This window comes from Homo sapiens, chromosome 3 (genome assembly GCF_000001405.40).
Source record: "Homo sapiens chromosome 3, GRCh38.p14 Primary Assembly".
NCBI classification, from domain to species: domain Eukaryota; kingdom Metazoa; phylum Chordata; class Mammalia; order Primates; family Hominidae; genus Homo; species Homo sapiens.
This window is the reverse complement of record NC_000003.12, coordinates 53,146,054-53,165,670: the sequence shown is the minus strand read 5'-3', so window position 1 is coordinate 53,165,670 and position 19,617 is coordinate 53,146,054. Positions and strand designations below refer to the sequence as shown.

The 19,617-nt window shown below is 57.0% G+C and overlaps 1 protein-coding gene across 6 annotated transcripts in view, besides 5 other annotated features; it reads right to left on the bottom strand.

Annotated features, from left to right (window-relative positions):
• The window catches only part of PRKCD (protein kinase C delta), a 31,509-nt gene extending 27,047 nt beyond the window's left edge, over positions 1-4,462 (bottom strand). For 2 of the 6 annotated variants that reach the window (NM_001354680.2, NM_006254.4), the window contains exons 1-2: positions 4,243-4,462; positions 456-567 (exon numbers count right to left, since the gene is read on the bottom strand). The gene's annotated coding sequence lies outside the window, so the exon portion shown is untranslated. Of the gene's footprint in view, positions 1-455; positions 3,190-4,095; positions 4,165-4,242 lie in introns of those variants that run through there. The other 4 variants (NM_001354679.2, NM_212539.2, NM_001316327.2 and 1 more) reach the window with 3 other exon arrangements.
• Positions 3,511-3,740: a silencer, noted in NCBI's record as "silent region_14460". NCBI's record gives its function as "represses an Ori minimal core promoter by ATAC-STARR-seq in GM12878 lymphoblastoid cells {active_cell/tissue: GM12878}" and the evidence as "EXISTENCE:reporter gene assay evidence [ECO:0000049][PMID:35858748]".
• Positions 4,011-4,960: a silencer, noted in NCBI's record as "silent region_14459". NCBI's record gives its function as "represses an Ori minimal core promoter by ATAC-STARR-seq in GM12878 lymphoblastoid cells {active_cell/tissue: GM12878}" and the evidence as "EXISTENCE:reporter gene assay evidence [ECO:0000049][PMID:35858748]".
• Positions 6,615-6,694: an enhancer, noted in NCBI's record as "active region_19958". NCBI's record gives its function as "activates an Ori minimal core promoter by ATAC-STARR-seq in GM12878 lymphoblastoid cells {active_cell/tissue: GM12878}" and the evidence as "EXISTENCE:reporter gene assay evidence [ECO:0000049][PMID:35858748]".
• Positions 8,691-9,191: an enhancer, noted in NCBI's record as "H3K4me1 hESC enhancer chr3:53190496-53190996 (GRCh37/hg19 assembly coordinates)". NCBI's record gives its function as "activates a minimal SCP1, AML or CMV promoter by ChIP-STARR-seq in primed H9 embryonic stem cells {active_cell/tissue: H9 hESC(primed)}" and the evidence as "EXISTENCE:reporter gene assay evidence [ECO:0000049][PMID:30033119]".
• Positions 16,109-16,916: an enhancer, noted in NCBI's record as "H3K4me1 hESC enhancer chr3:53182771-53183578 (GRCh37/hg19 assembly coordinates)". NCBI's record gives its function as "activates a minimal SCP1, AML or CMV promoter by ChIP-STARR-seq in naive H9 embryonic stem cells {active_cell/tissue: H9 hESC(naive)}" and the evidence as "EXISTENCE:reporter gene assay evidence [ECO:0000049][PMID:30033119]".

Genomic DNA, 19,617 nt, shown 5'->3' with positions numbered 1-19,617 from the left:
CATTCCATCCCCCTGCAGTGTCCAACCCACTGTGGGGCCCACGGGGAATTTCAGTGTCCTTGTGTGATGATGAGGTGAGTTTGAGGCAGATACAGGGCCATGGAAAAGCTGACACACCCACCCTCAATCTTTGGCCCATGAGCCACCCTCTCTAACTGACCAAAAAAGCGTTACTACTTTTTGCCCCAAATTAATGGTAGGCCCCAGGCCTCTGAGCTCCAAGGTGAGAGCATTCTGGGGCCACAGCCAGGTTAGGCAGGAAGTTCCTCATGAGCAGAGAGCCCCTCATAGACAGGGCAAACAGCTGCGGCCCCTGGGCACACAGGGCCCACAACCAGATCAAGGACTCTGCATGCATGCCCAACCCCATCCAGTTCCACAGCAAAGGACAAAGAGGCCAGAGAGGAAGGCTACACCGGTGCACCATCCATCTGCCTAAGAGAACTCAGTCCTACCTGGGGCTCCCAGCTCCTGCTTGTCCTTAGTCCTGGCTCCCGCTGCTGCTACAACGCACCAACCACCAGGAGAAACGGGCCTGCCCCCTTGCCTGGCCAGTTCCCTGCAGACCTGTAGGAACAGGAGGAAACAGCTGAGCCGGGAGGCACCGCCAAACAGGCTCTCCCCGTCTACCAGTCCCAGCATGGCTGACGGGCCCAGTTCAGTCTCTCCTGGACCTAAAACCTCGGGTCTCTCTGGATGTGGCTTTCCCTTCCTTGAAATGTGGTGTTGGGCCCAACTTTTCCTGGGCACCACTATTTGTCCACTCCATGGTAGGGGCTGGAACACTGTGTCCCTGCCCTGAGCACATTTCCAGCCTGGTGAGGAAGCCAATAACACAGCAAAAACCTGTTCCTGACCCTCCTGTCTGTGGGAGGTTGCCTTGCAGGTTTAGGAGTCCTAGGGTGCAACAAAGTACCACCACTTTATGTCCTGGTGCAATTTCCCTGAGCCTCAGTTTTTTTAATGGGGAAACTACTAGCCTCTTCTCCCCAGGTGGTTCTGAGGTTCCAATGATGTGGCGTGCCAGCTCCTGTGCTGGACTCATGTTGAGAATGCCAAATGAATAGTGACTTTTTTTTTTTTTTAATGTGGCAGGGTCTCACTCTATCGCCCAGGCTGGAGTGCAATGGCACGATCTTGGCTCACTGCAACCTCTGCCTCCTGGTCTCAAGTGATTCTCGTGCCTCAGCCTCCTGAGCAGCTGAGATTACAGGTGCGCGCCACCACACCCAGCTAATTTTTGTAGTTTTGGTACAGACAGGGTTTCACCATGTTGGCCAGGCTGGTCTCAAATTCCTGACCAAGTGATCCACCTGCCTCGGCTTCCCAAAATGCTGGGATTACAGGTGTGAGCCACCGTGCCCAGACTGAAGAGTGACATTTTTTAATCTCTTGTGCCTTACAGTTCAGGTGATTCTCACATTACTATTGTGCCCATTACACAGCTGAAAAAACTGAGGCCTGGAGATATCCTGGGAGGAAGAAATGGCAAAGGTAGCAAGGTACTCTGTGTCTCCTGGCTGAAAGGCCTAAGCATTTTCTCTGAAGGCCAGCTCAAGCCTCTAAGAAAGATTCTGCTCCCCAGATGTGAACCCCTCCCCCAGCTGGAGACCCCCATCACCATTCCCTGGGGGCAGAGGCATCCTTGGCTTTATCTTTTTGTCTGTACTTTAAATTATTTCTAATTTTAATCTAAACTGTGCCAGCTAAATGGTGTCAGCGCCCTGCAGTCACAGCTCTGAATCATCCCCCACCCCTGTCTCCCCCATCGCTACTACTGACACTAAGGTCTGGTGAGGGAGGGGCTGTCATGCAGGCTGAACAGGGCTGGGTACTGGGGGCTCTGTCTGGGCATCCCCCCTCCCTCAAGCTGCTTGGTCAAGGAGATGGGAAGGGGCAACAGACAGGCAGGAAATTGGGTTGGATACTGTCTGGGCTTTCTTTAGCCCCAGCTCCCAGGAGAATGGGAACCGTATAGCTGGGGGTGGTGACAACAAAAGACTTCACATGTGCTGTGTTCTCACTATGGGCCAAGATTGTGTTAAAGGACCTTTAACACAGGAACTTTTGTCCTCACTCTCTCCATTCTGCAGATAAGGACACTCAGCCTTGAGAGGCCTAGCTTGGGTCTCTTGCTCTTAACAGGCACAAGCAAGTATTGGAGCCCAAATAATTCTTGGGTACAGAGCCCGAGGTCTTGGTCACAACACTACAAACCCCAAGACTTGCCCTCTAGCCCTCTCCATGTGCACACCCACATCCTCATGGTCTCCCACACACTCACACACACACCCCCACACTGGGCTCTCACCTTCCCTCCCAGCACTGTCACCACACACCTTGTCACACCCCCTCCTGCCGCTAACACCCACGCCCAGGCACTCTCGGTTCCCCACAATCACAGTCACTCCCCAAGCATACACCGGCAGTTTCATAGACTGTGTCCCACCAGTCACACACTCCTACCGTGGCCACACACTCCCAGGCTTACCCCAGCACTGTCCCATCGCATAGCCCTCACACCACCCATCAGCCAGGTACAGCTGCCCAGACACCACCACACCTCTCTGTCACACACACACGCACACACACAACCACACATATCACACATGCACCATACAGCCTCCCTCTGCTGGCCTGCTCACCAAGCCCCAGCTCACTCCACAGCAGGAACGAGGAAACCCCAGGGATCAGTCCCCTCCCTTAGTGACCAGGTGGGCCTGGTCACAGAAACTCAGTGGCAGAGGGAGAGCCACACGTGAGTACACACACATACACACACTTATACAGATACACTCACACATGAGACTGGTGGGTAGGCACCCAACACCAGGGGCTTCCACAATTAACAGATCTAACGTACTCATGGCCAGTTGGTCACCATGATATACCCAGTGTGCAACACCGAAACCTCCAGACACACAGGGACACACACACTAGCAGGCAAGGACACACACACACACACACACACACACGAGTCTGGTGACAACAAACACACCAAGAATGGTACACACAGTTGCAAAAGACACACACAGAGCCTCAGGACACAAACAGACATACACACATACACACAAGCAAGTCACACATGCGAAAAAGGACACACATGCACAGGCAAGTCCCACAGTGACAGACAGCACAGAAGCTGACACAGACACACAACATACCCACACACCCAGATACCAGTGACTTAGCACAAGGAGACAGCTTCCACGCATACAGGGTAGGCGTCAGAGAAGGGGACCCCCCGCCCACTCACAGCAGATCCTTCTGACCAGGTTTAAGGCGGGGCTCGGTGGGGCTCTCCCCTGCCCCAAGAGAGAGGGAACTGGGGAAGTGGGAGCAGTTCCGATGGTGCTCTCCTTCTGCCGCTCCACCACCAGCCAGGAGGACCCCCCCCCCCGACCTCCTCCCCTCATCTGGTGGAGCCCCCACAACGGGAGTGGCATCTGGGTTGGGGGCGAGTACAGACCGTATCGGGCAGGGGCCACCCTGGGAGGGGTCTCAGAGGGGCGGAGGGGTGGGGTGGGAAGGGGGATGGTGGAGACTGGAGCCACGCCCAGCCCAGAGACGGATGAAGGGACCGAGAAAGACTCTTGAGACCGAAAGAAGAGACAGCGAGGAGGAGGCGCCGCGCGGGTCGGGCCTCCAGGGACCCAGGGGCGGGAGGCGAGGCCCGGCGGGCGGCCTGGCCTGGGCCCCGCGGTAGAGCGGAGAGGCGGCTGGACTGGCAGGGGGCGGCGAGCGTGGGCCGGGGGCGCGGCTCCGGGAGGACGGGATCGAGGGGGCGGCGGGCGGGGGTAGGGGTGTGGGTGGGGGTGGGGCGATGGAGCACGCGGAGGGCAAGGGACGGACGGATCGGGTGGCGAGGGACAGAAGGATCGGGTCTCGGAGAGGCGCGCAGGGGGAGAACACAGAGTGGGTGGCGACAGACGGACGGACACAGGGCCCGGGAGAGAGTCGGGAGGGACGGACGGGCCCCTCGGAGGAGCGGGAGACACACGGGCGGGTGGAGGGGCCGGGAGCGGGCAGACAGAAGGACCTCAGCCCCCACTGTCTAGCGGAGGGACACACAGACGGACAGGGGGACGGAGTCACCGGCAGGTCTCGGCGCGGCGGGACTTTCGCTGACCGCGGCTCAGTTTCTCAGTTTCGGAAACGGGAACTGGGGCGGGAAGGGGGAAGGAAGGGCGCCGCGCCCTCGGGGTAGCCCCGATCCCGCGCCCGGACCCGGCCCTCACTTACCTCCCGTTGCAGGGGCAGGCGCCAAGGGTCGCGGCGGCAGCGGCGGGGGCGCCGCTCCCCGGCGCGCGCGGACGGGGTTCGGCGCGGCGCTGACTGGGATGGGCCAAGCGGCCAGTGAGGTGTGGCCCGGGCCTCCGCGCGGCGGGCGGGCGCCGGGGGTCGCTCGGGAGATGTGGGCTACAGCCGCCTCGGGCTCCGGCGCCGCGGCACACGGAAGTGCGAGGGGGCGGGGCCGAGCGACCTCACCCAGGTGCCGCCGGCCCCGCCCCCGCCAGGCCCCGCCCCCGCCAGGCCTCGCCCTGCCAGGCCTCGCCCCGCCAGCTGCAATCGGGGACAGCGTCCCTCCGCCTCTGCCTGCGCGGGACACCGAGTCTCCCGGTCCCTCTGCCCTGCCTGGCCCTCTTCGCATCCTCCCGCCATTAGCGCGCAGCCAGCCCTCAGAAGGGGCCCATTTTACAGAGGAGGACGCTGAGGCCCGGTGGGGAGGCTCCCTCCGCCCGCTGGGGCCTGGGAGGGGCCGGCGGGGGTTCCCCCGCTCCCCACACCCACGCCCGGGACTCCCCACTGGCCAGCTGGCCCGCCTCTCCTGGCCCCACTCCTGCTCTTCCTGTTGGCTGGAGCTCGGACGCGGCCGGGCGCGGTGCCCGCCGCCAAGCCCGCTGTCCCGGCTCTGCCCCAAAGACTGAGCTGGTTAGACTCCAGGGTCGGAGGTTCTCGCTGGTCGGGCGCTGCACTGCTCCTCAGGCGGTTCTGGGAACTGCCCCTACTCGGACTGGCAGTTGCCCCTACCCCGATTGGCAGTCTTCTGCTTTCCTGCCCCCACCTTTGAGACCTCTCTATTGCTCCTGGCAGGCGCCTGAGCCTCCTTTCCAGACATGGAACTTGGTTGTCAGCCATAACTCCTTCATTCATTCATTCACTCATTCATCTATTCACCGAGTGTCCCCTAGGCTCAAAGTCTAGGGACCAGTTGGGGTTCTAGGGAGTCCATTCCCCTGTCCCCAGAGCTCAGAAAGCCAAGACATTAGCCTTATACTCATCCAAAGAAATGTCACTTCCCAGGAGACAAAAAAGAGGGTTCCAGGTCCTGGGGAACCACCTAGAAGGGATAGAGAAAGTCTAGACAGCTCTTCCCAGCTGAGACACAAGGGATGGAAGTGGGGGACAATCCCTGAGGTGGCCTGAGCTGAGAAAGGGGCTTGTGACAGAGACAGGCCATTGGACTTTGGTCTTCTCACAGAGCAATGAGAAGGTGGTGAAAGCTATTACAACCAGGCAGGATGACAGGCTCAAGGGGGCTCCTGCGGGATAGATGGGGCAGAGGGACAGCAGGGCAGAGGAGAGGCTGGATGGGGGACAGAAGGGCTGCCACGTTGTTCAGGTGGGAGGACCCTGGTTGAGATTGCGGAAGATGGATGGGGAGAAAAGGCCAGACCAGGTGGGTTCAAGGACTATCCTTTGGGAAAGACTTTCTCTTCACACCCAGGCCTTGAGCATGCTGTTCTCTGGGCCTGAATGCCATTTCCCACCCCACCCCCAAACCTCTACCTGCCCTGGTTGTGTCCATTCAAATGTCCCTCCTCCCTGATGCCCAGTTGTAATGCACGGCACTTCCCTGAGTGAAGGACCATATTCATTAGCATGTTCTGTGTCCTGATCCCATCCCACCCCACCCATCATGCCCCATGGCTTCCCTGGGGTTGGACTGGAGGAAAGGGTAAACAAGGTGAGCCTCAAGTGACCTTTGCCCACTTGGGATCGGGTTTCCTTCTGGCTCCTCCTTCAGGTCCACAGTAAGCCAACCCAGTCTCTCCCTCAACATAAACAATAGGCCCACCCTGTGCCAGGGACTGCAGCCAGAGGGAGGACTGACCCTTGAGGAGCTCCAGGTCCAGCCACCAGACCTTTGTTCCCACTCCGTGTGGTTCACCATGGAAGAAGGAAATGAATAATCATGGCTATCGCTGATAGGGGCTACCCAGCACCAGGCTGTGTGCTGGGTGCTGGATGTGGGCAGTCTGAACAGTTCTCAAGAGGTGAGGGCTGCTGTTAGTGCCAGTTTTGGTGATGAGCAAACTGAGGCTCAGAGAAAGGAGAAGCGACTTGCCCCAGAGTACACAGCTAGTCAGTGGCAGACGCAGATTCAGACCGAGGTCTGTCTGGCTCCAAAGCCCATAGTTTACATCAGGGATCTCAATTTCAGCACCACTGACCTTTGGGACAGATGATTCTTTGCTGTGGGGGCTGCCCTGTGCACTGTAAGGATGTTGAGCAGCATCCCTGGCCTCTGCCTAGTGGATGCCAATAGTACCTCCCTGCTTTAACTTGTGACAGACAAAAATGTCTCCAAACATTGCCAAATGTCTGCTGCAGGGCAAAATTACCCCTTGTTGAGAATCACTGCTTTGACATATACTGGTGTTACAGGAACAAGATTTACATTAGACAACAGGAAGCACTTTCCTGATCCTCAGGATATGCAGACTTGTGAGCTCAGGGGCTGCAAGCATACACTGGCTTCAGCCAATCTTTCTCCTCTAGAGAAAGGGGAAGTGCGATGTACTCAGAGAGGGTCAGAGGGGCTAAGGCTGTGCTAGCTATGCTGTGGCGAGGGCAGAGAAGGGATGAAGGTGGGCTTCCCTCCAGGCCTTAGGTCCAAGGGTTCCAGGGAGAATAGGTTTGCATGAGGTCCAGAGAATCCAGGCCAAGCTTGACTAGAACCACCCTGCATCTTGGAGCTGCTTCTGGGTGCCACACTGGTGGGCCAGGGCAGGGTCCAGATGAGCTGGTATCTGTGTCCCCATAATCTGCCTTGCATCAACAAGAAGGGCCTGCTGAAGCCTGAGAGCAAACCTTGGCTGTGTCACATGCCAACTGTATGACCCTGAGTAGGTGACCATGCCTCTCCCAGCTTCAGAGTTCTCACCTATGAAAAGGGCTGATGACAGACTCATGTCAGGAGTTGAATGAGGTGGTAAGAGTTAAATGAGATGATATATACAGAGCCTCGGCCAGGCTAGACACATTGCCCAGGGTTACAGCCTGGTCATGTGCCAAGTCACAGGCTGTCAGCCTTGAAAGAGGCTTCAATGGCCTCTCCTGACATGGGGCGTAAATCCCTGAGCAGGGCTAGACTCATAGCAGCTGCCTAGAGGTGATACTTTCCTCCTCCTCCAGGTTTGCAGCCAAGGAGATGGGCTAGGGTGGTGCCAGGCAGCTTCCAGACTCCCACCCACAGCATCCACCCAGGGCTGTTCCTTCTGTGGGCCTCCTGGAGGATTTATCCAGAGGAGAAGCAACTTGACCCCTGCCACCTCTGCCTCCTCCAAAGGCCATCAACCCTGGGAGGCCTCCAGACTCCTCCACTCCTGAAGTCCAAGACTCGGCCAAGCAACCTGGAAAAGGCCTCCCTCTGTCCCTGAGGCCCACACAGCTGAAGGCAAATGGGGTCCCTCACTTGATCCCTGCCAAGAGTTGGTCCTTGTCCTGGCATTTCTGCTTTTTGCACCTTCTCTCTGTTTCTGTCTCTCTGTGTCACCATCCTTGTCCCTGAAGCTTTGGTTGCCACGGCAATCCCCATCACACCCAGAGCACTGGCCTGGCCAAGAGAGAGTGGGCTTGTGTTTCTGGAGCAGGAGACACAGTCAACAGCGACAGTGCACCTGGGCAATTGCTGGGGGCAGCAGAGCCTGGGAGGTTCCCACTGGGGACAGTGTAGTAGGAAGGACACTTGGGACATGCCCATGCCTCAGGCCACCAAGACTGTCATCGACAGGAGTGTCAGCCTCAGGTACTAGGTTAAGGACAAGCAAGGACAGGCTGAGGGGGACAGTGGCCTTGTGGGTAGTGCTGCACAGCAGGGAAGTGCCAGCCCAGGGGCTGGTTCGCATCCTGGCTCTGCCCTGCACTGCAACTTAAATGTGCCTCAGCTTCCTCATCTGTGGAGTGGTGTTTGGTTAAGATCGACCTCCTGAGGCTGAGAGGATGGAAGAGTTCAAGTTCATCCCATGTTGGTGTTACCTGCCAGGCAGAGAGTTGGTGAGGCTGGGCTAATTGCCTCCATGTTCCTTCCTCAACACATTTGTGTTTGGGTGAAACCTGAGACATACTTGGGGGTAGACAAGGGGAAGGTGTGTCCTGGGAGTGCAGAACACAGGGCTTTCCTGTGGCTCTCCCAGGGGTGTGTACCCTGGACTGTCCCTTCTCTGCACTGACCATGGCACAGCCCCTGCCAGCCTGAGTCCCCTTCCCTGGCTCCTCTGCCCCTGCCCCCAAACATGTGTGTAGGTGGGGAGAAGGGGCACTGGTGTTGGGACAGTCATCAGCAAGAGCTATCCCCTCGCACGGAGTCCAGGGGACCTCCCAGCTCTCCTCCACCGCCCCCATCCCCGGCACCCATTTAGCTCTAATCTACGGGGTCCCTACTGGGAGGCTCATGGGGCTTAGCAGGGCAGGGAGGGCTATAAGCCTCACCTGCCTTTCCTTTCGCTCCCTGGCCTGAGGGTGCCTCAGCTCCCCGCTCCCACCTCTCAGCCCCTCATCCCCCACATCCTCAGAGGACAGCTCACCAAACCCAGCTTGGCCCATGGGAAACAGTGTAGGGGGTGGCCCTGAGCTGAAAGGCGGCTGCTCGAGGTTGGCAGGCTGGGAAGGACTGACTGCAGGCACAGCAGGGTCCCCCGCGCCGTGCACACACCTCCATACCCACCGCACAACCACGTACACGCCAGTCGGCGCGACCCCCGTGCACCAGCACAAAGTCCCCCGGGCCCCACCCTCCCGCCCCGCCCCGCCCCGCCCCGCCTCAGGGAAGCCTTTCCGAGCCGGGGGCGCAGACGCCCGCCCAGCCGCGTGACGCAAACCCCGCTATAAAACACCCGGCTCTATTCCCGGGTCCGGCAGCCACCTGGCTCCAGGCGCCGGGAGGCCCTTTCGCCTCCTCACCCTCTTTGTTCTCCAGGAAAGTCAGGAAGACCTGAGCTCGCCCATTCCTTGGATGGAGCAACTGAGGTCCTGGGTGTGAGGGTCGTCCAGGGCACTGCAGCCGGCCTCCTAGTGGGAACCTCTGAGAAGACCTTGAGGACTGGGGGCTGGATATGGGATGAGAGGGGAAGAGGGAGAGTCACCGAAACCTGGAAAAGTAGCCACACACATTGGCTGTTCTGATTTAAAAAAAAAAAAAAAGTAATACATTTTCTATTAAAGCAAGGAAGACAGAGACAAGTTTACCGAGGAAAGTAGGAATCTCCTGTAATCGCACAGGTCGTTTCATCTCCCCAGACAGACCTGCCCTCCGCACTGTCATTGCATGCTATAAATTGTCCCTTGAGGACACAATCGGGCAGGCTTTGTGAAGGGGGTTGCGTGAGGCCTTCCAAGACTGAGCAGAGCAGCCTGGGGCTCAGGACTCCCTAATCCTTGCCCTGGGACAGGGATTGGAGGAATCCTAGGCCCCTGACCCAGACTTCACCCAGGGTTTGCCAACAACTCTTGGCAGAGCTGTGAGCAGGGACAGTGGGCAGTGCCAGAGAGAAGTGGTTGGGCCAGTTGGACCGGCAGAGGCTGAGCACCCAGCACCCTCCACCCCAAGTCCTCCAGTGATATGAGAGGCCCTGGGCACGAGGGCACTTCTGCCACCCACCTACACTCCCCCTGCCACTGCCCATCGAAGCCTCCCCACCAAGCCTCTGCTCAGGTTGTGCTTTGCCTTGGAATGCCTTTCCATTAAGCTCTAGCCATTTGATGAGGTCCCATGCAAATGGTCCTCCTGCAAATTGTCCTCCAGGGAGGCTCCCAGATCCCTGCCCCTAACCAGAGGCATCCTCTGCTTCCTGTAAGCCCCCCAACTCCACACTGTCTACTGCAGAGGCTTCAGAGTGGGAAGAACTAGCATGCAGCCCCCATGCTGACTGGCTGTGTGACCTGGAGCAAGTGCCAGCCCTCTCTCAGCCTCAGTTTCTTCATCTGTAAAATCTCCAGGCCTTGGGGCTGCTCTGAAGATAAATTAAAATGTTGGAAGCAGAGTGCCCATTTCTGTGCCCAGTACTAGAAATAGGCAGCTGGGCTGTTCATGTCCATCTCCCCCAGACCATGAGCTCCCCTAGCAGAGACATGCCAGGGGAGCTCCTCCCCTGATGCCCAGCAGCCTGCAGTGGGCAGAGGCAGAAATTGGCAGGGGAGGAGCCTCCCCAGGGAGGTGAGTCTCACCCTCAGGCTCTGCCCACCCCACCACCTTCACATGCCTGGGCCCTGCCTCTGCCTGCAGGCTTCTGTGGGCACAGGCTGTGGCCATCTTGGCCACAGTGGCTAGGCAGGCGGCCAGGCCACTGGGCAGGCCTGGGCAGCAGTAATGGTGAGGCCTTGGGGCCGGAAACACAGCCAGTTCCCAGGGCAGCCCCTCAGGGCCCGTGGGTACTGGGCAGGCATCCCAGGGCAGTAGGGGGCAGGGAGAAGGCTGGGATTTCTGAGTAAGCGGTGGAATTTGGGTCAAGGGCTGGGGTACTGAATCTAAGCCCTCAGGTGGGCCCCATGCAGGGCCTCTTACACCTCCACTCTAGGCCAGTGGAGCGGGGATTCCTGCCAGCTTCTGACATTTATTAATAGTTGTGCTAGGGTGGGCACTGGAACTGAGTCCTCAGCTTCAGGTACCAGGCCCAGGATCACAGGGGTCTCCAGGTATGGAGAAGGTCTGGGACACAGCCGGGGGGCCTTGTGAAAATGATGAACTAGAATTTCAACTTGCCCTCGTGTTTTACAACCTGGATATCTGGGAAGTTCATGCTGATGTCTGCCCTAGCACCCTCATGTTGCTAGAGAAGACCTGCTGGTCTGTCTGCTGGAGGGGAAGGGTGGCTCCCTGGTGTGTGGGCTGCTCCAACCCTAGGGTACCTCTCTGGAGGGAGAGCTGGAGGGCTGCATGGGGAGACTTGGGGGAAGTGCCAGTGGGTTTGAGTGCTGGGCTGCAGGGGCTGTGGCGGGAGTACTCTGTGGAATCTGACTTTGGGTTCAGGTGTGTGCTCCTAGGTGCCAGCTGATGTGTATGTGTGTCAGTGGTAGGGGATACTTGGAGGCAAGGGGGGTAATGGAAATGCCAAGTCTTCCCTCCTGTTCCTCAAGCACCCTCCTCCCACCCCACCCACACCAAGCCACTGGAATCCGGAGGAGAAGGCCCCAAGGAAGCTTCCCCCACTCCCCAGACTCTGGAGAAGGCAGGCAGCAGCGGAACCACAGCCTCCGTGGGTGTGCTCTGTGGGTGTGCACAGCATAGCCATGGTGCAAAGGAAGAAAAAATGAACTTTCTTCCCTCGGGCCAAAGCCTTTCTCTGAGAGAGGGTGGGAGGGGAAAGGATTCCCAGCCCCTGGGCAGGATCCCAGTGGGCCTGCGCTGGGCAGCCTTCTGCCCTGGACCCACTATCAACCTTCTGCACACACGATGTTCTGCACCCCAGCCAGGCCCCAGCTCACCGCAGAATCTTGCACAGATCTCTCTCCCCTTGGTGCCTCACACTCCCCATCCTGACTTCTGAATTCATTTGTTTGTCCCCATGCCATCACCTTGGCCTGGGCTTCCAGTGTCCCTTGTCTGGCCATCTGTGATGGTCTCCTCTGTTCAGAATACCACCTCCCCACCTCCAGCAATTCTTTTCCTTCACAGCAGCCACATAATCCTCCTAAAGTGTCAAGGACTACTCACTCCCCAGCCCTGAGGCTGACCATGGATCTCTCAGAATAAAGGTCAAACTTCTACTGTGGCCACCTGGCCCAGTGTGACTTAGCCTCTGCCGCCTGTCCCCCTGCCAGCCCAGAACTCCAGGAATAGGAACGTCTTCCAGTTCCTACCAGACAACATCCTTCAACTTCTCACCCCTGGGCCTTTGCCCATGCCCTTCCCTCTGCTTAGCACACCATGCCTAGCTAACTCCTCTCAGTCTTCTGGTAGATTCTAGCTTAGTTACCTCCTCCTCCAGGAAGCCTCCCTGGCTAACCTCTTAAGCCAGGTTAGGTAGTGCTCCGACATGAGGGCAATGTGTGTTTTTCATCCCACAACACAATCCAAGACCTCCTTCCTCCCTCTGCCTCCCCACCCATCTATGTGTGGCTGCCAAGCCACAGTCTGATGCTCCATTTCATCTCCCAGTTCACTGAGGAAGACAGAATAGGGTTACCAGGAGGAAGTGAGGGCAGGGGATGACCGGGGACATCAGGATGCCTCCTACATCCCTGTCCTTCACGTGGGAGCTGGTATCACTGACTGTCCCCCAAATGTGCCTCCCCTGGATTGCCTCAACCCCACACCACCACTGATCCAGGTCCCCTGGCTATCCCCAGCTTTGAGGGAACCCTAGAAGCTGAGGGGCAGGCCAGCTTCCCAGATCTTGTCTGCCAGGGGGCCCAGGTGGGTGTAGGGTGAAACTTCTGGAAGAAGGCTAAGCGCTGAAGTGCCTACCAGGCTAGGGTAGGCCTGGGCAAACATTAGTGAGCAAGTTTGTGTCCAGGTAGTGAGTTGTGGCAACACTGAGGCTTCCACGGGCCCTCGGTGGACACACACAATGCCAGTGAGCCTGCGGAGACGCTGGACCCTCAGGTAGAGGCCTGCTCAGCCATGCCTCTGACTGGCTGCAGGATCCTGGCAGGGCCTTGCCCCTCTCGGTCTCTGTGGCTGCAGCTACCCAGAAAAGGTGATGGGACAGTAGATACTAATTTACCTCTGCTACCAGGGAGAGGCTGAGTGATTAAAAACCGCCTATCAGGACAACCTGCAGAGTAAGAGCAACCCCAGTTTACAGTTGAGGAAGTCAAGGCTCAGGGAGGCAAGCCCAAGGCCAGGTAGCAGGGCCAGGCCCGACGTCTGTGCGAGGCTGGACGAAGGTCAGGACGAAAACCTGGTGGCTTCAGAGGCAGGTGTGCCCAGGCTGCAGGCTTCTCCTCCTGGCTCAGCCTGCTCTAACTGTGTGACCTCAGGCAGGTGGCTCAGCTTCTCTGAAACACGATGGGAGGATGATGAAAGACCCAACGGTCAGTGGTCACATGGACTGACTGATGGAGCAAGGGAGAGGAGGAAGAAGATGCCTGGCTTCCTTGCCGGTTGAGCACAGGGTCTGATGGGAGGATGGACAGGAGTGGGCAGCCACCTCATTGCTGTCTAATTGCCTACACCTGGGGTAAAGCAGGGATTCCCGTCCATCCCAGAGACGAGGAAACTGAGGCTCAGGTGAAGCCCGGCCCAAGGCCACACAGGTTGTTGCAGGGCGCTGAGGCAGGAGTCCAAGACCTGGTGTGTTCACGTGTCCTGCGGAGGGTCTCAGCCCCTTCCCTAGCCGAAGACGGATGCTGCCCTGGGGCCAGCTCTGCTGCCTGGTAGTCAGTTCTGACAGGGACGTGGCCAGGACAACGTCTCAGGAAACTGGAGCCGGGGTGGACATTCTGCAAGATCTGCTTGCAGGGGACCAGATGGTGACCTGGACTTCGGCCCATGGCCCACCAGAGGAAGGGAGGGAGTCCCACAAGTACCTGTTTTCCTCTGACACAGAGGTTCTGGGCTGGAGCCTCCCTGCTGTTGCATGCCTGTGTGACTGCCCTCCAGGGTCCCCTCTTCCTCTCCTCATGCCTGAGGGGCAGCCCAAGCCCCTGAGCCTGAGTCCGCTGAGGGAGTCAGAATGCATGAGTGAAAGGGCCTATTCTTACGGAGGTGTTGAAAGTGGTGGCCAAGGTCAGGAGTGTCCTGGGGCTACTGGGGGCTGGTCTTCTGGCAGGGAGCTCAGCCACTCAGCTATGTGACCCTGGGCACATCACCTTCCCTCTCTGGCTTCCACTCGCTGCTAACAGAGGCTCATAGAGAGTAGACAAGAGGAGGGCCTAGCACCGTGCCTGGATCAGAGCGAGTGCTCAGTGGATTATTGCCAGCTTTGTTATTATGATTTAATTTGTTAACCTCAGGGTGTATTTTAGGGTAGGACAGGAAAGCTTGCATGCCTCAAGCCCTCTGTATAAAATCTAAGGCATGGCTTCATATGGTGGCTCATGCCTGTATTCCCAGCACTTTGGGAGGCCGAGGAGGGCAGATCATTTGAGGTCAGGAGTCTGAGATCAGCCTGGCCAACATGGTGAAACCCCACCTCTACTAAATACAAAAAATTAGCCGGGCGTGGTGCCGCATGCCTGTAATCTCAGCTACTCAGGAGGCTGAGGCACGAGAATCACTAGAGCCCGGGAGGCAGAGGTTGCAGTGAGCCAATATCATGCCACTGCACTCCGGCCTGGGTGACAGAGCGAGACTCTGCCTCAAAAAAAAAAAAAAAAAAAAATTTCTGTGCGAGGGCCAACAAAGCAGGGAAGGCTTCACCAAAAAGGTGCCCTTGGTGCTGGGCCGGGAAGAGCAAGAAGGAATTCCTTAGTGGGCAGTGGTGGGAAGGCAGAGGAGGCAGAGAAAGCACTCCAGGCAGAAGGAACAGCCTGAGCAAAGGCTTGAAGGTAATGAGCCCGCTGCATCCAAGGCTGACTCTAGGGAAGGCTGAGGGGCTGCAGGGTGGGATTCGCAGGGCACTGGTTACTGCTGGCAGGTGCCTCAGGGGCCAGTTGAAGATTCACACTCACAGCGGCCTTGGGTGCCATACAAAAGCCTGGGTTTGTGGTGAAGATCATGGGAAATGAAGCTTGGAAAGAGGGCTTTCCAGGCAGAAACTGGAGGGGAGAAGATCTGGAGGAAGGTCACTCAAGGCAGAGGAAACAGTAAGAGCAAAGGCTGGAGGCAGGTGTGAGTGCACCAGGCACCTTTAAATGAGTGGGAAAATGAAGCCATGACCTATATGATTCATATGAATGCTTCCTGGGTCTCTGGAGCCAATCGGGTAGGAACCAGAGTGCTGGCCATGCCCAAGCCCGATGCAGGGGTGGAAACTCAGAGCCCAAGACTTCCACCAGCCCACGTGCCCAGCTTCCCTGTCCCAAGGAAGTACCCAAGACCAACTGCAGTGTGCTCCAGGAGCACAAAATGTCCCCACATGAAAGGGCACTCATGGGTATGAGTGCAAGGAGACTTTCCAATAAATCTTTGCCATTCTGACCTTTGCTCTGCAAACTTGGCTGGCTCAGCCCTTACATAATGAGCTGCTGGGACACTGGCCAGCTGACTCAAGGATGAGTATAGGGTGCTCCTGGGCCACCTTGAACCCTTCCTTTCCTTCACTGTCAATTCTAAAACCTGAGTCTACAGGTCTCTGGGCTTCCAGGAGCTATCCTTTTTGGCAATTGAGACTTAGATCCTGTATGTTTTTGTTCCTTCCCTAGCTGCAAGGTCACCCCTTGAGTGCCATGTCCTGTCCTCCTGATCACTCCCCACTGCCACCACACACATGACTCCCACCTTGTGAGGGCCGGGTACACAGCAGGTACTCAGTGAAGACCAGGTTTCCTGTGTTGACATCGCTGTGCCCAGAGACAGCACTCAGCAACCTTAGTGACTGCATGTTTCTTGGCTTCTTCAGCCCCCAGCCTCCATATAGCAAGGGCCAAAAGTTAAGCTGCATGGGGTTGGCCTGGACTTCTGGGGCTCCCTGCACCCAGGAGCACTGGCAGGCCCTGCCCTGGAAGTCTCTATGGGATCCAGAGAAATATGGGCTCTGCCATGGGGGTCAGACGCAGCAGGCAGGAATGTGTCCAAGAGAAGAGGGAGCAGCAGTGCATGATTAAGCACCATGGGGCAGGCCTGCCATGCTAATGGCCGTGGGGTCCGTAGGTACTCAGGCACACACGGGGTTGTTTCTCCTACCTGGAGCCTGACTTCCTTCTCTCCCTGCTTCAAGATGAGGGAGTTTTGGGTGGGAAGCTACCATCACTTCCTTTATCATCACCCTGGTCGCTGTTGGGTGAGTGTGCAAGGACACATATGTGCATGCATTCTTATGCTTAAGAGGCATGGCGTGGGGGCAGCAGGGTAGGAGATGCCAGGTGCAAGCAGGCAAGAGTGTGTGGCCTCCAGAGATGGCTCAGGCTCAGGATCCGCTCCCGAGACACCCTCATTCCACACCACCCCAGCGGAAGTTTTGACAGCGTCTTTCCACATAAGACCAAGGCTTTCCCTCCTGAGGGGAGGAGGGAAGGGGGACAGAGCAGAGGAGAACAAGGAAAAGAGTCCACTGTGCCTTCCCGGCCTGGATCCTCCTGTGTGCTCTACTCTGTGTCCCAGAGGGCCTGCATTGCTTCCCATTGACTCTCCCAGCTACCCAGGCTCCCCGGCGCAGCCCCTGCCCCCAGGGACTGGGCAAAAGGGAGTCTGTGGGCCGGGCACAGTGGCTCACGCCTGTAATCCCAACACTTAGGGAGGCTGAGGTGGATGGATCACTTAAGGCCAGGAGTTCGAGACCAGCCTGGAAACATGGTAAAACCCTGCCTCCACTAAAAATACAAAAAAATTAGTTGGGCATGGTGGCACATGCCTGTAATCCCAGCTACTCGGGAGGCTGAGGCATGAGAAATGCTTGAACCTGGGAGGCGGAGGTTGTAGTGAGCCCCAAGATCATGCCACTGCACTTCAGCCTGCCGAGACTCCATCTCAAAAAAAAAAAAAAAAAAAAAGTTGGGGGTGTCTGTGGAGACCATGGGCATGGGATCTTTTCGTTCTTTCTTTCTTTTTTTTTTTTTTGAGACAGAGTCTCGCTCTGTCGCCTAGGCTGGAGTGCAGTGGTGTGATCTCAGCTGACTGCAACCTCTGCCTTCTGGGTTCAAGCGATTCTCCTGCCTCAGCCTCCTGAGTAGCTGGAACCACAGGCACGCGTCACCACACCTGGCTAATTTTTATATTTTTAAATGGAGATGGAGTTTCACCATGTTGGCCAGTCTGGTCACAAACTCCTGACCTCAGGTGATCCGCCCACCTTGGCCTCCCAAAGTGCTGGGATTACAGGCGTGATTACAGGATACAGGGATTATTACTGTGCCTGGTGGAGACCATGGGATCTTGAACCCTAGACCCTGCACTCAGAGGTCAGCCTCCTTGGAAGGGCCTCCTCCCTGAAGAACTCAATTTTTGATCCTGTCTGGCAGCAACTGGTGCTAAGCTGCCCAAAGGCACTGTCTGGGCATCAAAATAAAACCTGAAAATTGCTACCCCGCCCAGTACCGCAGAGCTCTGCCAAAAGGTAATTATAGGTGGCCTGGGGTGGCCAGCTCTGCATATAGCCCTAAGCTCAGCAGGCCCAGGGCCACAGGCTGCAGGGAGCCCTGCCCCTGCCCCTCTTGTTCTGCACCAGGCCTAGTGCAGAGTGTTCCAAGTCCCAGCTCCAGGGCCCTCCATCAGCCTACAGGCCTCCAGATCTTGGTTGTGGTCCCCTGGGTGTCTGGGTGGATTCCAGACTCTACAGAGGGTGTGAAGAGAGCTTGGTCTCAGCTTCACATCATAACAAGAACAGTAATTCCAGCCCCCACATATCAAGCACTCACTACCTACCAGGCCCTGAACTAACACTTGATGTTCCTTAATTCACAAACTTCCCACAAAGCCCCTATGATATGGGTACCATCATTAGTCCCATTTTACAGGAGGGGATACTGAGGCCCTGGGAATCTAAGTGACATGCCTATGGTCACCCACAGTACCCTGGGTTCTGGGCCAGACTTCACAACCACTAGGCCAGCTTGTCCCTAAAGCCACAGAGGTGAGAGTGAGACAGTGGGTAACTGGCCTGGGTGGAGTGAGACAAGTGACCGGCGTGGAGGCGTCAGCAGCTGGCAGGGGAAGGACAGTTTCCCTTCTGAAAGCTCATTTGCCAACTGTGAGGCCTGTGTGGCCTCACAGGTGGGTGTCTAGGGGGAAACAAGAGACTGGGGAAGGCAAGGGTAGGCACACAGTCTGGCTGCCTCACAGCCGGCACTCTTGGCCATGCCATCTCCCCTGCAGCCTGCCCAGATCTTCTCAGCCCAGAGGGAACCTGTGTGTCCCTGCCTGCTCTTCCCCACCTACAGCGTGGGAAGTGGTGTGAGGGCAGGGCTCCACCCAGGACCGCTTTGTGCCCCTCGCACTGTCCTGGGCGCAGTGGGGGTGTGTGAGTCTACTGCACCCCATCTCCTGCCACACAAGACTCACTGCCTGGGCCTAGCCAAGTTTGCTGTCTGGAATTTGCCTTAAAAAACTCCCAGTCTCTGCTGACTCGTGAGGGCTGAGCTGCGACTTCCCTTGTCCCTGGGCTAAGGTCTTAGTCCATACTACTAGGAAGTTCTAACTGACGTCTCACTTGCATCTAACTGGCTTCTCACTTGCTGTCTGTCATTTTCTCTTCTCACTGGTTCCCTTTCTGGTTCTTGCAGAGGCAATAGTAAATAGGCCATGTGTTCATGTTTCTCATCTACACAGAAAATGGTAACTCTAAATGACTTCTGCACTGACCTTGTTAGTCAACAGTGAATCTACAAACCTTTATTAAATCCCTACTCTGCTGAGAGCTGAGGAAAGGTAGAAGAAGGGGGTGGCAAATTCCTAGGTGAGCTACTGTGCCCACTTCTGTGCTTGAGGCAGATATTGCTAAGTGATCACAGAGCTTCTTGCCGAGCCTGGAGGGATATAGCTCAGAATCCTTGTCAACACAGCTCCAGGGAGCCATTGGCGACCAGCTGGAATTGATACATCAGTTGAAATCCATTGGCCCTCCCTTTGCAGCCCACCTCCTGCCAAGGATTGAGGCCAGGGTCAGGCCAGGGCTTCTTGTGCAAAGCTGTCCTTGCCCTGTCCCCCCCTTGCACTGCCCATGCCCTGATTTCTTTGTCCTCGTTCTCAATGCCTGACACAGGATGGGGAGAAGGCAGACAGTATCATCTGTCTTCTGTCTCAGGTTCCTGCAAGGCTGCGATAGCCTAGTTAGGGATGCGGCCCCACAGTGGCACAGTGCCTTTGGATGGAAGGCATCTGGGCTGCTGCATCAGAGCACCTTCCACACCCGCCTCCATCCGAGACTTGAGACCCTCCCCAGAGCACATCTTCTCAGAACTGCTCTGGGGCCCAGGGATCACAGGTCCCCTTGCCCAGCCTTCTGCTCCCAAGGTGCTCACTGTGCATTCCTTCCCAGGTCAAGGACAAAAGTCTGACTTCTCCCTTGCCCTTTCCAGCCATTCAAACACATGGATTGGCACCCACTGGGTACCAGAGCCCTTGGGAGGGGTCAGGAGCTTCCCTGAGCAGAAACGGAGGGTCCCTGACTCAAGGAACTTGGGGTCCTCAGGGGAAAGAGTCAAGGTCCCAGATGGGTTATTGAGGAAGCATTAGACTTAGGGCCAGACAGACAGGTCAATCCCAGTACTGCCACTTGGGCCTGTTTTCTTGTCTATAAAATAAGGATAATAGAAATAATACACATAATAATGCCTATACCACAGACTTATTTAAGG